The following is a 15,379-nucleotide window of genomic DNA, read 5'->3' on the forward strand; positions in this document are numbered from 1 at the left end:
TCTACATGTTTTCTTCAAGTCTCAAAAGGTACATTAAACTTCGAAAATACCTACCATTTCAACATCAGAAACAGGTCCAAAGCTGGTGACATATATGTCAGTTTTCACTTCTGTAACAGGACCTAACGGGTATGAAGTAAATAAGTGTGAAAAAATAATTACCAATTTTACAGGCTGGGAAGGTTAGATAATTACAGAGTAAATACAGATATGATATATCATGTTTTTACAAGCATCTTACATTTTCAGTGAGATAATGAATCTCTACAAAACAAATGTAGACCAAAGCGCAACAAGACCAGAAAGCAGTGTTTACTTACAGGCAAAAAGAAACCCCAATTACTTACCAGGAACCTTGTTTCTTCAAAGATACGTCACCCCTGGGTACTGTTACAACAGGCAATGCAGAGACACAAAAGCTTTTAACCTTTGCGATATTTTATAGTCCATCATCTGATTGGCCTCTAATAAAGAAGTGAGCTGTTAAAAAGGGGAAGTGTGGCCACAGCAACAAAGAAGAGAAAAACCATAACAGCTGTAAGGAATGTATCCTTGGAGAGCTGAGGATACTAGTAAATAATTTTAAAAATGATTCATGTCACCTTTATCAACAAGCACACCATCCACTGCTGATTGGGATCAAAGACAAACTTTCTTACAAGTGACAGATACTTACACTCTGCCACCTACTAGCTGTACAATCTTGTGCAAGTTATTTAACTCCTCAATAGTAGCCACCACAACCATCAGGCAAGATTTTGATAGCGATCAAATGAAATTGCTGAAATAAGATGCTCAGCAAAACGACTCTCTCATGAAAGTACTCATTCCATGTGAGGTTCCCTTTGCTTCTGACAGTGGCCACTACTGAGACTGTTTCCCGTATCTAAATAAGACTAGTTCGTAAAGAAGCACACTGGTGTTTTGGCAGAAGAGAAATGTGGGAGCATAATGACAATATGGCTGACACAGATTTTAGACAAGGGAACACAATCTGGGTTTAACACAATCTGAGTTTAGCATGAAGCTTAAAATCAGAAAGTTTGGAGTTCAAATTTGGTTCTAACATCTTCTAGTAATATCATCTTCAAGTCACATATCCTCATAGGTAAAGATATTAATGAGTATTAATTGAGATAATACTTGTAAGTCATTTGTCCCAGTCTCTAGAACATAATGTGCTCAATAATGACAGTAGTCATTACTATGCATAATACAGCATTCTAATACAACAAAAATATAAAAATTGTTGCCCTTGAACATAACTTCCTTAAACAATGGTTTATAGTACTGTATAGCCAGAGGCTAGATATTCCGTAACTGGGAAGAATGACATCTGCTATGAAGATGAAATAATCTCTCACTTGGATTCTTGCTTGGGAAATGCGATTTATGCCAAAAAAAAAAAAAAAAGGCAGAGAGAAATTGGTATCACTTAATTCCTTAGCTCCAAAGTTATCTTCATAAAAATGAATCTGAATATTTCTTCTTCTAAAGAATGAAGATTGATCCACACAAAGAAAGATAGCTCGAGGGAGAATGAGAAAATTCTTTACTGAATAAGTATCCTAAGAAAAATAGAGCCTTAGGCAGTATAGTAAGAGAAAAAGTCTGAATCAGGCTTAGCTAACATGAGATTTAATGTTTTCAAGACTACATCTATGGAAAGCAGAAAAGTTAATTAAATTTTTATTTGAATGAAAAATTGGAGACAACAACAGCAAAACATGATAGTAATAAGCTCATTAATGTCAAATTGTTCCAGGAATAGCTAGGTAATCCAGGAAGCAGGTAATGTGTGCTGAACCCTAGAAGATAGCAATTTCACTCAAGTAGGTTCAACAGTGAAACAAATCACTGTGTTAGTTTCTTAAGGACAATTGCCAGAGTATTAAAAAGCAGAAACACTATGCCATTGCAAGTCAGGGCAAGTGGTGATAAGTTACTCGAATAATTAAGGTTGGTTATGTCCTGACAACTAGACTATTTGGCAAGATTCTTGAGAAATCAAAAGTTACTTTGATGATTGGTTTAGGGAAGTGGTTCTGATATGTCTGTTAAAACAGATTGTTGAACTCCACACCCTGATACGCTGATTTAGTACTAGGCATAAGGTGCGGCCTCACAATTTGCATTTCTAACAAGTTCCTAGCTGAGGCTGTTCACTTTACTCTATTTTACAGTGTTCATCTGTTTTCTAGGATAGTATTTACAACACCATGTGCTATAAAATATTAATATCATACGTATTTCAGGGGAGTGAGGAGTCTAGAAGAGAAAAGAATTAGGCCAATGATATTTTTCTTTATACATTTATTTTAAAGTGTGTGGGCGTATGCTAATTCTTATAGTTCTATAGTTACAATGATTCCATGATAATAATGAACATTTTCCAATTCTTGCATAACATGCTACTTTCTCAATGATTCTTGAATAATGTTTTGTGTTCAAAATTATAACCTTAGCATTTGTGACATTCATTATTCAGTATTTGCCTTATATGGTCCTATGGATCTTTGAGACTGAGTAAGATCCTAAAAAACATTTGATTGTAAAGGGATTTCCTTCAGACATTCATTCAATTAGTGTTTACTGAATGAGTGCCAGTTGTGTGTTGGGTTCCCTGCTAGGCTCTGATGCTACATTGGTAAACAAGACTCAGGAATTCCCTGACTCAAAGAGCTAAGGTGCCATTAGGGCAGTCAGAGTATAAATACAGTAGTAAAAAGATAAACTAAATGACAGAATGCTATCATTTCTAAGAGGAAAAATACAGGATGGTAAGAGTGAGAGACTGGGAGGGTCATTCCTGATTTGCAGTCATAGCTGCTTCTTCAAAGCAGTGACTTTTAAACTCAAACTTGGAGAATGAGCATGAGCCATTGCAAGAGATCAGGAAATTGGATTCCAGGCAGAAAGAACTCCAAGAGGACAAGATCAAAGACCGGAAAAGGGCTGAGTGTATTCAGGGACTAGAAAGGAGGCCAGTGGGGCTGAAGCAAAGCAAGGGAGGGACAGAATGCTGAGAAATAAAAGCCACAATGATAGAATAAAAACCAGAGTACAGTGGATAGAACACCTACCCCTGAACTCGTATTCTAAAAAGTGGCATCTTTTAAGCAACATACTTATAATATATGCTATGGTGACTGTAGTTAAAACTACAAGGAAAATAAGTTGTAGATATATCAGTAAAAGATGGAGAGCTACATAGAGTATTGTTATGAGCTAAACTGTATTCCCTCCAAATTCCTATGATGAAGTCCTAATTCTTGGTACTTCAGAATGTGACCATATTTGGAGATAGAATTTTTAAAGAGATACTTAAGTTAAAATGAGTTCACTAGGGCGGGCCCTAATCTAATATCACTGTGACCATATCAGAAGTGTAGATTAGGACACAGACACACACACACACACATAGCAGAGACAATGTGAACATGGAGAGAAGATGGCCATCTATAAGCCAAGGAGAGAGGACTTAGAAGAAACCAATTTTGCCTACACTTTGGTATCCCCAGAACTGTGAAAAATTAATTTCCTATTGTTTAAGCCACACAGTCTGTGGTACTTTGTTTATAGCAGCCTTAGAGAACCCAAAATTTATCGTTTTTCCTATGTTCTTTCCTGGAGCTTTCTTCTTCTGATATTCAGTCTTTCTCTGTCTTTACTTATAGGTCGTGGTAAGAAGTTTGATTTGTATCCCATAGTCATTGGGAGGCCACTGAGGGTTTGAAGTAAGGGAGTTTATATGATTAGATTATATTTTTTACAAAATTATTCTGACAATGGTATTGACAATACATTACAGGGAAGCAAAAGTAGAAGAAGGGCTCTTCTAAGAGACTGCCATGTTGTTCAAGTCGAGAGTTGGTGATAACAGCTTGGACTAGGGATGTGGCAGTGGGGATGAAGACTGGACAGATTGAGGGGCTGGTATGCTCACAGGGTGTCGGTATTTTCCAAAGAACAATAAGCGAAGATACAATAATTACTATTTATTGAAGATGAATTATGTGCCAGGTAGGCTATTAGGTTCTTCCCATATACTATTTCATGTAATCCTCACGACACCCTCCAAAGGCGCTATCCTCATGAGAATGTTATGGATCTGGAAACTGAGTTCACAGAGATTAAATAATGTATGACAGAGCCAGAATTCTAACCCCCTTGTATTGATCTCCAAAGCATGTGCTAGCTTTACTATACTACATTATATCACCAATAATAAATTATTAATTACTTAAGCAAATGTGGAATTTCATATCTAGAATATAACATGCTATACCTACATTCCCTGCTTTGTTCATTAGTTTCTGAAGTATTTTCTCAAAGCGCTTTTCATGCCTTTACTATTATTCTTATTACAGCATACTGCTTGGGTCTTTCTATCTGTAACAGCAAAGGCAAAATCTTAATCCTTTTTGAAGTCCCAAACTAGCACAATGCCTTGCACATATTAGGCGTTGAATAACTGTGTTTCATCATGTTCCTAATATCATCCCAGTAGTGATTTAAAAACCCATCAAAAGGAAAAATTAACAGAATTACTTTCCACAGCAGTTAAACTAAAAATATTCCCCATTTTAAGAAACTGTCTTATTTGTATTTGTATCCTCTGGCAGGACCAATCACAGGTTTTAAATGTAATAGGCTTCTGATAAATCAGTTGTCAATGAATAATGGTCACTATGTAATTAAGAATAATTCTTAGAGACACTTCCTCTAATACGACAGTTTAGGATGTTCAAATCAAACTTACTCAGAGTATAATTACATGGAAACCAGATAATTTTGAGCTTGGAAGGATTTCTTCCCATAATTTGATATGCATTTGTGCAACATTAAAGACATCTTTTATTTTAAAATTCTACTTTGTTGGTAGTAGGAATATATTTTTTAATACCTAATGGTTGACAGTCTGTAAGGTAAACAAGATGATTCAACAGTTTTTGGGAAAGAAAGAGCCAAGACCAGCAAGATCAAATTCAGGGAAATATTCCCATCTAATTAATGAGTCTAACTTGCTGGGAAAGAGGGAAGGCAATTAACGATGAATCAGATAATTTCCCAGTTTACTTAACTTTAGCAGTACAGATATGGTTAAAGGGTGGAATCATTTTTGAAATTTCATCTCCAATAATGATGTCTAATTTGCTGCCACATCATGAGAAAACCTAGGGTGTTTTGCTGATCTTGAAACTAGTCCATCCTCATTTTCCATATTGCCTCCCCAGCCATGCACTTGAGGAAACATTTCTAATTTTCCAGCCACCTTATCCATGCATCCACCATCATCTTACAAAATACTAGTTACATATCTCCAAAAATGAAGACACTTGAAGGGATACAACAAGGAATCCTAACTGAAATACATTAATAAATCTCTTTGCTTGTCATTTACAAAATATACAAATACAAGCCTTCCTGAATACTAAACACAGACAAGAGATACCCATTGATATCACTGAGAAAGCAGAAAACACTATAAAGTTCTGGAAGTTTCTTTCATTTAGAAGTCATTAAAGATTAGTGCCTCCCATGTCATATAATCCATCAATCCTGGTCTACTTTGTAAATAATTACAGCCATCAAATAAATAAGAAAAGCATGAACAACAACAAAAATAAAAATAAAATATGGGCAAACAATAAAAACAAGTAATTCACGGAAAGAAAATTATCGTAGCCAATAAAGATTGGAAAAGATATTCAACCACGTTAAAACATAGTGAGAATCAGAAAAATTCAAATCATTTCACAATAAAATGCCATTTTAAGAAATACCATTTCAAGATATATATATCTTGTGTTAAAGAGGGTATCTGGATCCTGAATGTCATGTTCATTGTAAACTGTAAATGGAAGTTGATTTTGTAAACTCATCATGAAAAATAGTTTGGCATTATCTTGTCAACTCCCACTTACACTAAGATCCAGAAAATCCATTTCTTGATATATATGCAAAAGAAACTCTTGCACATTTACAGCAGGAAATTTGGGCCAGGATATTCACAGCACCACAATCTTGGAAACAAGCAAAAAGCCTACTGCCAACAGAGCAGATGAATAAGCTGGTTTCTATGCAATGGGAATATCACACAGCAGTCAAAATGAATGATCTATTGCAATATGCAACAATAAGAATGATTTTTAGCAATATATAATTAAGTTAAAAGCATCGAAAGATTATATATAGCAAGTTCAAAACAATTAAATATTTAAAATAAACTTTTAAAATAAAGACAGTCAACCTAAAATGACATTCAAAGGAAAACTAAGAAATAATTTTAAAAGGACTTAAAATCATGGTTATTTTGGACGGAGAAGACAGGAAGATAGGATGGAGGAGACCACATAGCAGAATAAGAGTTGTCCAAGTCCTACACTTTGTGCTGGTTGGTGGTTTAACTGGTATGTTTATTATATTTTAATAAATGATTGAATAGATGAAAAGACGTATAAAAAGAAGGCTACATATGGGCCAATAATGAAAATGTGTCATATACCAGGAATTATTAATTCAGGTTTCAATTCTGTGTAACTGTGGCTTATAGAATAAATATATAAGAAAGGCTTAGAGTATAAGGCGGTGATGTTTAATGATATATACAAATGCAATCAGATGTATTTTCTCATCTAAAAGAAATCTAACAACTCAGTGAAGTATTACCCAAATATCCACCAATTTTCTAATATCCCATAATCTAGATTTTACAATGTCTATTTCAGGAAACACCAAATGCAATGGATACATCCTAACCCTAATGAAAATGTAAATATATTATAGCACCAGTATATTGTATATCTTTTTTTTTAAACCAAGAACATAAGATAGTAAAGTTGCACTCTGAATTCAAACTTCTCTTGTTTTCTAAAAGACGTATTTCTTTCAGCTATGCCTTCCCACCAATCTAATGTTAAATATCCTGTACTAGATTATCCCAGTAGAAGAAAAAAGAAAGAAAGAAAGAAAAACATGTTATGGTCTAATCTTGAAAAAAGAAAGGCAAACTTTTCTCTTTCTCTTCTATATTATATTTGAACTTCTGAAAAAAATCTATCAACGGTACCTCTGATTCTTCTTATTCACTCCATCATCTATCTCAATAACTTGTTTTTCATGCCTAGGGTCCACTTCCTTTTGTCAGTACCATGAGTTTTTCCTTATATACAGCATTGTTCCCACCAACTTTAAAAGTATTTTTTTCCTAGCATTTTTCTACCTCCTTCCTTCTACCATCGCAATTTCTCTGCTTCCATGTACAAATGCCCAGAAAAATCTTATTCCATTCTCTCTCGAATGCACTCAATCAGACTTTCACACCCATCACACCACCAAAACTGCTCCATCAAAACAGTCAAAACAGTGGTCAATTTTAAGTTCTTATCTTACTTCATCTGTCAGGAGCATTTGACTAAATCAACCCCTCCTCCTTTCTTTATTTTTTCTTTCTTTATTTTTCCCCTTATATTTTACTTTAGTTTTATACACACTCCCTTGGTTTTCCTGCTACTTCACAAACCACTCCTTTTAAGTCTTCTTGGGACAAAGATTCCTCCTCTCCTCTCTGGAGCCACCTCCTAACATTGGAGACATCAAAACTCAATATTTGTACCTCTTCCCTATCAAACTTAATCCCCTGTAATCTTTTTAGATTTCTAGCTTTAAATATCATGTATATTGACATACTCATGATCCCTGAATTTCAGGTTCATCTCCACCTGATATGCAATAGACATCCCAAAGGTACCATACCTGCATACAAATTGCTCATCTATGCCCCTGGTCTACTTCTGGCACAGTCTTGACAACTCCATTTTTCTAGGTGTTCAAATCAAAAACTTTGGAATCAGCTTTGACACCTCCCTTTCTCTCACATCCCACGTTCTAGCTGTCGTCAGTTGACTTTAATTTCAAAATATCCAGAAGCCAACCATTTCTTATAAATTTACAAACTTCTCTGCTACCAGCTTGGTCAAAGTATCCATCATTTCTTGCCTGGTTTATTATGGAAAACCTTGCTGCATCTGCCCTTGCCTCTGACTGCCTGTTCTGAACACAAGGAGAGCCTTTTAAAATTAGTTCAGGACTTGTCCCTGCTAAAATCTTTCCAGTCACTTTTGATCTGACTCAGAGTAAAAGCACAGTCCTAATCAGCCTGCAAAGCTGTACACAACCTTGTCCTCTTACCACACTGATCCCCTTTTATGCCTCAGCCCTGCTAAACTTCACTACAGGGACCCTGACTTCCCCACTTTACATGTTTGCACTTAGAATTCCTTCTCATTCATTAGAAGACTCCATCCCAAATGTGGTTTATGCTTTTACTGAATTACGACCAGTATTCAAACAGCACCTTCTTAGTGAAGTCTCCACTAATTATTCTACTTAAAATTGCAACCCTCTCCCCTGCTTTACATTACTCTATAGCTGTTAACCAACATCTGGCACACACACTATATTTTACTTATTTCTGTTACTTATTTTCTATCTCTTCCACAGTGTGAACTTATGAGGGCAGGAAATCGTGCAGTCCTCCCCAGCTTTAAATAACACCAACCTTGCCCAATTTCTCAAAATAGAAATTGAAAAGTCATTTTTTACTTCTCTCTCTTTTTTTTTAACATCCATATCAAGTCAATCGCCAATTCTTTGTTGAATTAAACCTCCAAAAACTCACTTTAATCAACTTACATATATCCATCTTTACTATATCTGCCACCTTATTCCAAGCAACCATCAACTTAAGAGAACTAAAGCTGAAGTAACAAAAGCTTCATTGGTCTCCCTGCTTCCAAATTGCCCTACTTCCTTTTCTAAGTCTTCCTTTATGCAGACAAGATGGAGCATTTTTCACTCTAACTCAAACCATGTCATTCCCTCCATTTAGAAAACTCCAATTGCTTCCAGGTTCACTAAGAGAATAAGTTATGCTCTTTTACAGGGTCCCCAGAGACCCTATGAGACCTGGCCTCTATTTAATATCCCAACCAAATCCCATGAGATTCTTCTTCTTGCATTCTGGCTACAGGCACACTGGACTCCTCTCACCATCTACATCACACTAACCTATTATCTACCTTCAGACCTTTGCACTTAATTGCTTTGTTCTCTCTGAGAATTACTTTTCTCTTACTCTTTTCATGTCTGACACCTTTAAGTCTTAGCTTAAAAGACTTCCAGGAACACCAAATCTGAAATAGATCCCTCACCCATTTTTTTTCCCTTTTAGCATGATATTAGATTATCTCATAGCATTTTCATGTAATTATTTTATTATTTCTTTGTTATATTCATCTCTCTATAATGCTTAGCTATAAAGTCTGTGAGGGCTCGTATCAGATCAGAATGATATCTTCACAACCTTACATTTTTCCTGACATACAGTGGTCTCTCAATACAGATAGGTTTCACAAATGAATGAATGAAAGAATGGGACAAATTGGAAGAGAATGAAGCTTTATGTTGCTGAGAAGTGCTCTTTTTGTCTATGTATTTTTAAAGGTATTTCTCTATTGACATTTAATTAATAAGGCTAGCACATGACACATTAACTTTTAAGTGGAGAAACATAGATCATTTGAAAACACTGCAAACACAATTTGATTTTTGTGGGGAAAATATTCCAACTTAACCCAAATGCATACAATTTTCTGTGTTTTCTTTACTATTTGAAAGTTGTTAAAGCTTTAGAACAAAAGTTCTTATCTCACTTCTTTAGAGGAAATGTAGTTTTGCTTATTTTAAGGTCCTACTTAACTTAGTAGCAAGAAGGTATGTTGAGGAAATTTGACTCTTGATAAACAGGGCAATGAAAGAGTGCCTCGGAAGTGGATATAGCAATAAACCAGCTGCCTGACTAAGGTTTTAAAGATGAGGGTGTGTGTTGTGACTTCACCAAGGAGTAGCTATAAAATTGATGGTCAATTCATTGGAAATTTTCTCAGCCTCTTTTCTAACAGAATGATGATGTCTGCCTTATCTCTTTGTGTTGTCGTAATAATCTTAGTAAATAATGCGAAGTCCACTAATGTGAAGTCCTACTATGTTAGTGAATAACCTTACAAAATTGACTCAAATGCTTCATTCCCATTTCAGAGAGGTTGTGGAAGATGATTCAAAGGCAGTGATCTGTATTTGGAACGTTTATTATTCTAGATCATATGCCTCAAAAGATTGAGATGCGTGAAAGGCTGTGCAACCCTTCAATAAACGGAAAATGAGTGACGGCAGGTTTCCTAAACCATTTCCTGGTAGTTAGTAAATACCTTAGCAATGCATTTTTGAGAAATTATGTAACAGTGTTACAGTGTTGAAAGTGAACGAGAGCTAGGGGATTATTTTCTGGCTCCTTTGTGGAAGGCTTCACTTGTGTGCTATGTCTAGACAGGTGCAAGCTACTTCAGGATGATAGCAACTGATTTATTAGAGGTTGAGAGGACTACATCCTCTCAGAAGTCGGAAACCAGCTTCTGTCACCATGACTCCTTCCCTCTCTTCTCGCCTTTTCCCCTTTTCTTCTCCAATGGGAGAATGTAGGAGACAAGGGAGAGGAGATCCTGGAGGGATGTAAAAAAAGGAAACCATTTCAGTTCCTTTTATTTCCCTATCGCAAGCTGTGCTGCTGAGTTAAAAATATGTAATTTAGTTTCCAAATCTATTTCAACCCCTGCCTGGCCTACTGAGCAATCACAAACCATCCAATTTCAATTCAAATCTTTGCTTTTAGCTTTGTTTGAAATGGAACACAGCAAAGTTGTATAAACAGATATAAAGTAAATGCCCCACGAAGAGCAGAAGCAGGATTATAGGAACCAGGAAGTAAATCCATATTTATAGCCTACTAGTCAAAATCTGGATTGTTTTCATTTTATTTTTAAAATACCAAACTTTCCACAGAGTATCCAATACTATAGAAGGCATCTGATTTGTGGTATCTAAGAGTCTGTGCTAATGATGAAGTTTCTCATTGTTTTCAGTGGTACACATTTACAACTTCATATAAACAGAAAACACATTTTCTGCAGGTGAGAATCACTATTTCTCTGTCACATTTGGAATACTACACATTTACAGAGAATGACCCACTTCTAAAAAGTGAATCACATTTACCACAAACATTTATCAGCAAAGCCAAGAAACAAACAAACAAACAAACAAAACCCATATTATGCTATTTAGTAAATGTTTAAATGGTTAATCAATTGGTAATGCTGGGAGTAATGTTAATTCGACCCTTTCCCATAAAACTATAAAAATGTTTTCAGGTGGGTAATGCAGATCATTTGGCAGTGACAAATTAGATGACTAATAATGTCCTTGAGACGTTTAATAGAATTACGATTAACCAAAACCCAGTAATGGCTCACATATATTGTTTTCACTTATGTTATTGTCAATATTATGCAATGGGAGAGAGTAGATGGTAAAAAGGATCCATATACAATGGATCCCTTCTTCCTTTTGAATTACAGCTTGCATTATAGCCAGCTGGGCACATCTTATTTTAACTTTCAACATTTATAATCAAACAATATAGTTTCAGTTCTAACTTTTCACTTTGATTTATGTTTTGGTATATCAATTTTCTGATGAATATTTAAACTACATAGGACTGGATACTTTTCTTATTTTTTTTCTTCACTTGAAATGTCAAGTTTAAAACATTTATGGGCAGATAAATCCTCTTTTATTGATATAATATTGCCTTAAATGGTATCACATCATCTGAACGATTCTCCACAACACTATTTTTGATCTAAAATGGAAGATCATGCATTGACAAATGATTCACCCCTTTTCAGATTTGCATGAAGGCAAATGCAGTGTAGGCAACCTATCCCTGGAGAGGCAACATGAAAAGAAGCAGGAGAAAGTTTCATCCTTCTCATCTATCCTTATCAGTCAATATACAAATGCTGGCCCGGCGCGGCTCACGCCTATAATCCCAGCACTTTGGGAGGCCAAGAAGGGTGGATCACTTGAGGTCAGGAGTTCGAGACCAGCCTGGCCAACATGGTGAAACCCCATCTCTACCAAAAAATATATTTAAAAAAATTAGCCAGGTGTGGTGGCTTGCACCTGTAATCCCAGCTACTCTGGGGGCTGAGGCAGGAGAATCACTTGAACCTGGGAGCCAGGGGTTGCAGTGAGCCGAGATCACGCCATTGCACTCCAGCCTGAGTGACAGAGCGAGACTCCATCTCAAAGAAAAAAAAAGAAATATACAAATGCTGAATCAATACCCTCAATGACTTCCCATAACCTTCTCATAAAATCCAAGAAAATAATGGTTTGGAATTCAGAAGACCTGATCTCATCCTATCATTGATGTACTATGTGCCCTTATATACATCACTTTCCCTTTCTAAACCTCAGTGTCCCCATCTGTTAAATGAGACCAGATGCCAAAGAAACACCCAACTCTACTTTATCTGCCCATAAAGGTTTTAAACTTGACATTTCAAGTGAAGGCTAGAAAGAGTTTCTAGCCCCAGGCCATACTCCTACTTCACATCACAGGCAGTCCTGCTCCCCATTCTTACTTTCTCCATTCTCCCAACATGTCATCTCCTACACACCCTCAATAGGAGGTATAAAGTTGCTCCATGCTTCTAATATTAGATGATACTCATCACACAGCATCTGATACCATCCCCATCTGCACGGCTTTGTCTTTTAAATACACAGCCTGCTCTGGGTTTACATCCTTCTCCTCCTACTTACTAACTTGGAACTTGGACTCAATTTCCTTATCTGTAAAGTGGGGATGGTAATGGCTTTCAAAGCTTTGTTGTGAGGGTTAAACAGAGTGGTGATGCCTACAAAATGCCTGGTATATGTGAACATTTAATTAAATAAATACAATATTACTGGCTGTTATTATTGTTACCACTTGAATGTAAGCTCCTTTAAGGCAGAATCTCTATCCTGTTCAACTCAGTTGCTGAAGGGTAATTAGTGCAGTGTACTGTAAAAAACAGGGACTTTGAGATCAAAGGACCTGGGCCAAACCTATGAATGGGACCCTAGCAAGTCATTTGTCCTCGTTGAACTGGACTGAGAAGCTGTTTGAGGTTAAGAATTGTATCTTAATATTTCTGTGGACCTAGTACCTAGCGCAAAGCTTGCCACATAGATTTCCATTATATATGCAAAGGAAATATGAATATGAAAAACAGCAACAGTGCTGTTAATGGATGTACCTCTATTAAGTCCTTTATACTTATTTTGTTGAAGAAAGCAAGCTGGAACATCTCTAACTTTAAAGTCTTAGGAGGAAAGCAAATGACACATCACCAAAAAAGAAAGGGAAAAAAGAAAAGCATCCTGCTGTAGAAGAGAAAAGGAAAGGACTGGGTTCTCTAGCAGAGCAGGCAGCTTCATGCCCCAGATTTATGTCCCAGGTAGAACATTGGCCAAGGTTTTGGCATAGGCATGGACACGTGGGAGGATGAGGGACTTCGGTTCAGCTGCCTCCAATGCAACCTGCTCTGAGCGAAGTGGCCAGGTTCAGGGAAACTATTCTCAGCGAAGAGCGTCCAGGCAGCTGAGCCCAGAGTTCCCATTTTTGACTCTTCCTCTCCAACCTCCCCCACCCAGCAGTCAGGTCCCGGGAGGTAATTAGTGTGGGGGAGAGGCAAAGCTTCTGAGGGGGCAGGGAGATGGGAAAGTACGGGTGGAGGCGGTCTTCTTGTCATAGGTCTCACCAAGAGAGGAGAGATAGAAAGAGAGAGAGATTTATTTTTGCACGTGAGGCATACCTAATGATATTCCCACAGACAGACAGACAGGAAGACCAAGAGAGGGACAGACAGGACACACTTGCGCGTTTGAAATCGTTCATACCCCCAAATCCAGGACGCAGCCTGTTGTCATAACCATCGAGCAAACTGTCCAGGATGCGGGTGAAATTTTCTGTGCACAATTTCTCCTCCTTTTGGTTCTGTCCTGGGGATTCGTTTAAACTGCAAGCGAAAAAAAAAAAACCGGGGGCGGAGGAGATTATTTTAAGAATCCATCAGAGAACAGGTGCAAACAGGTTTGTTTTCTAGGGAAAGAGTCGCTTGCCCCAAGCTAAAGGAGAGGAGGTTGGGGGTTGGGATGCAGAAGACAGAAATGGTCAGGAAAAGCGCGCCCCGCCGCAAGACCCCCAGTGCCCACACGCCTCTTGGATCCTGCGCCCTTGGTGCTCTCCGCATCTATGCGGTCACAGAAAAGCCTGGCTTCGGCCCCTGCTCTTACAGCTGAGATAAGAAGACCTAGTCCACCCAGGGAGGAGCGAGTGGCCAAAGGGGTCCCGGAGCTAGCCATTTCTCCACTTTCCGTTGCCCACCTCCTCGCACCCCAGAGAACTCACCAAACCGCCAGGCACAGGAAGCGCAGGAGGGCGAAACTGACCCCGGCGGACAGAGCGATCGCGGGTACCTTCTTGGCAGAAACCATCTTTGCAACATGCCATACTTCAAGCCTGTTCACGTTTCCAGGCTCTTCAGATGCCCTGAGCAGGGTGCGAGGAGAGGGCAGAGAGGCTCCCGCGGCGTGCGCACACTCGCGCTCACACTCGCCCGCGCTCAGCCAGCCCGAGCCGCGGTGGGCGTGTGTGTGCACGGGGCCAGGGGAGGCGGAACCTGCCTTCCTCGCCCCCTCCTTTCTCGCTCAGCGCTCAATGTGTATGTAGAGCTATGTATACCGCTCCACACCCTTTCGTGCCCGCGCGCTGAAGGTTCTGGGGTTCGTATCCGCGCGCTTGCGCTGCAAGACTCGGCAAGTTTGTTCCGACTGTAACTCCGGGGATGAGGAACGGGGTCTCTCGCCCCTCCTCCGGCTTCGCAGCCCCCGACCCCAAGTGGGCTCCCCGCCCACAGCAGTGTTCGTCCTCCTACCTCCTGGCCCCCTCCCTTCCGCTGGGATTTGGATCTAACCAATGAAGCTCCTCTGTCATCAGGTTGTGCGAGGACCTGTTTGTACCCAGAGTCAAGGTTGGAGGTGGAGAAAGGGCGGGTGACGGGGACTGCTGGGCGTCGGGTGGTAGCGGTGGTGAGGAGAGGGGATCAAGTCCGGGCTCAAACCACCTTTGAGACCCTCCCATTCAGGTGTTATGGGGGGCGGTAGGGAGAGCAATGAAAGCAGAAAGATTCTTCCTGGTAACAGGGGTTGCAGCTCACCCGGCGGACTCTCGCCAAACTATTGGGAAGTGGACTCGAGCCGCACTCTAGTCCCAGTATTTGCTAAGCTATTGCTTTAAAGACACCCCATTTCTTTACCCGCCTCCACCAGACACGCGCACACCCTCCGCTTTGCTGCTCCATCCTTTTCTGGAGAGGAGGGGAGAGGTGGAGACAAGCGACCTCTGGTCAAAATCACTTTCACTTCT

At 38.8% G+C, this 15,379-nt stretch overlaps 2 protein-coding genes across 5 annotated transcripts in view, besides 2 other annotated features; one reads left to right on the forward strand and one right to left on the reverse strand.

Annotated features, from left to right (window-relative positions):
• GABRA4 (gamma-aminobutyric acid type A receptor subunit alpha4) overlaps positions 1 to 14,605 on the reverse strand; it is a 74,682-nt gene extending 60,077 nt beyond the window's left edge. For 2 of the 3 annotated variants that reach the window (NM_001204267.2, NM_001204266.2), the window contains exons 1-3: positions 14,431 to 14,605; positions 13,852 to 13,970; positions 55 to 122 (exon numbers count right to left, since the gene is read on the reverse strand). In NM_001204267.2, coding sequence (NP_001191196.1) covers positions 55 to 122; positions 13,852 to 13,970; positions 14,431 to 14,459 — 216 coding nt within the window. In that variant the 5' untranslated portion in view covers positions 14,460 to 14,605. Of the gene's footprint in view, positions 1 to 54; positions 123 to 13,851; positions 13,971 to 14,362 lie in introns of all 3 variants that reach the window. The other variant, NM_000809.4, reaches the window with a different exon arrangement.
• Positions 14,536 to 14,830: a silencer, noted in NCBI's record as "tiled region #8016; K562 Repressive non-DNase unmatched - State 24:Quies". NCBI's record gives its function as "represses a minimal TATA promoter and a strong SV40 promoter by Sharpr-MPRA in K562 cells {active_cell/tissue: K562}" and the evidence as "EXISTENCE:reporter gene assay evidence [ECO:0000049][PMID:27701403]".
• GABRB1 (gamma-aminobutyric acid type A receptor subunit beta1) overlaps positions 14,671 to 15,379 on the forward strand; it is a 432,801-nt gene continuing 432,092 nt past the window's right edge. For both annotated transcript variants that reach the window (XM_024453977.2, XM_024453976.2), the window contains exon 1: positions 14,671 to 14,984. The gene's annotated coding sequence lies outside the window, so the exon portion shown is untranslated. The remainder of the gene's footprint in view (positions 14,985 to 15,379) is intronic.
• Positions 14,992 to 15,061: an enhancer, noted in NCBI's record as "active region_21529". NCBI's record gives its function as "activates an Ori minimal core promoter by ATAC-STARR-seq in GM12878 lymphoblastoid cells {active_cell/tissue: GM12878}" and the evidence as "EXISTENCE:reporter gene assay evidence [ECO:0000049][PMID:35858748]".

Source organism: Homo sapiens, chromosome 4 (assembly GCF_000001405.40).
Source record: "Homo sapiens chromosome 4, GRCh38.p14 Primary Assembly".
In the NCBI taxonomy this organism is placed as follows: domain Eukaryota; kingdom Metazoa; phylum Chordata; class Mammalia; order Primates; family Hominidae; genus Homo; species Homo sapiens.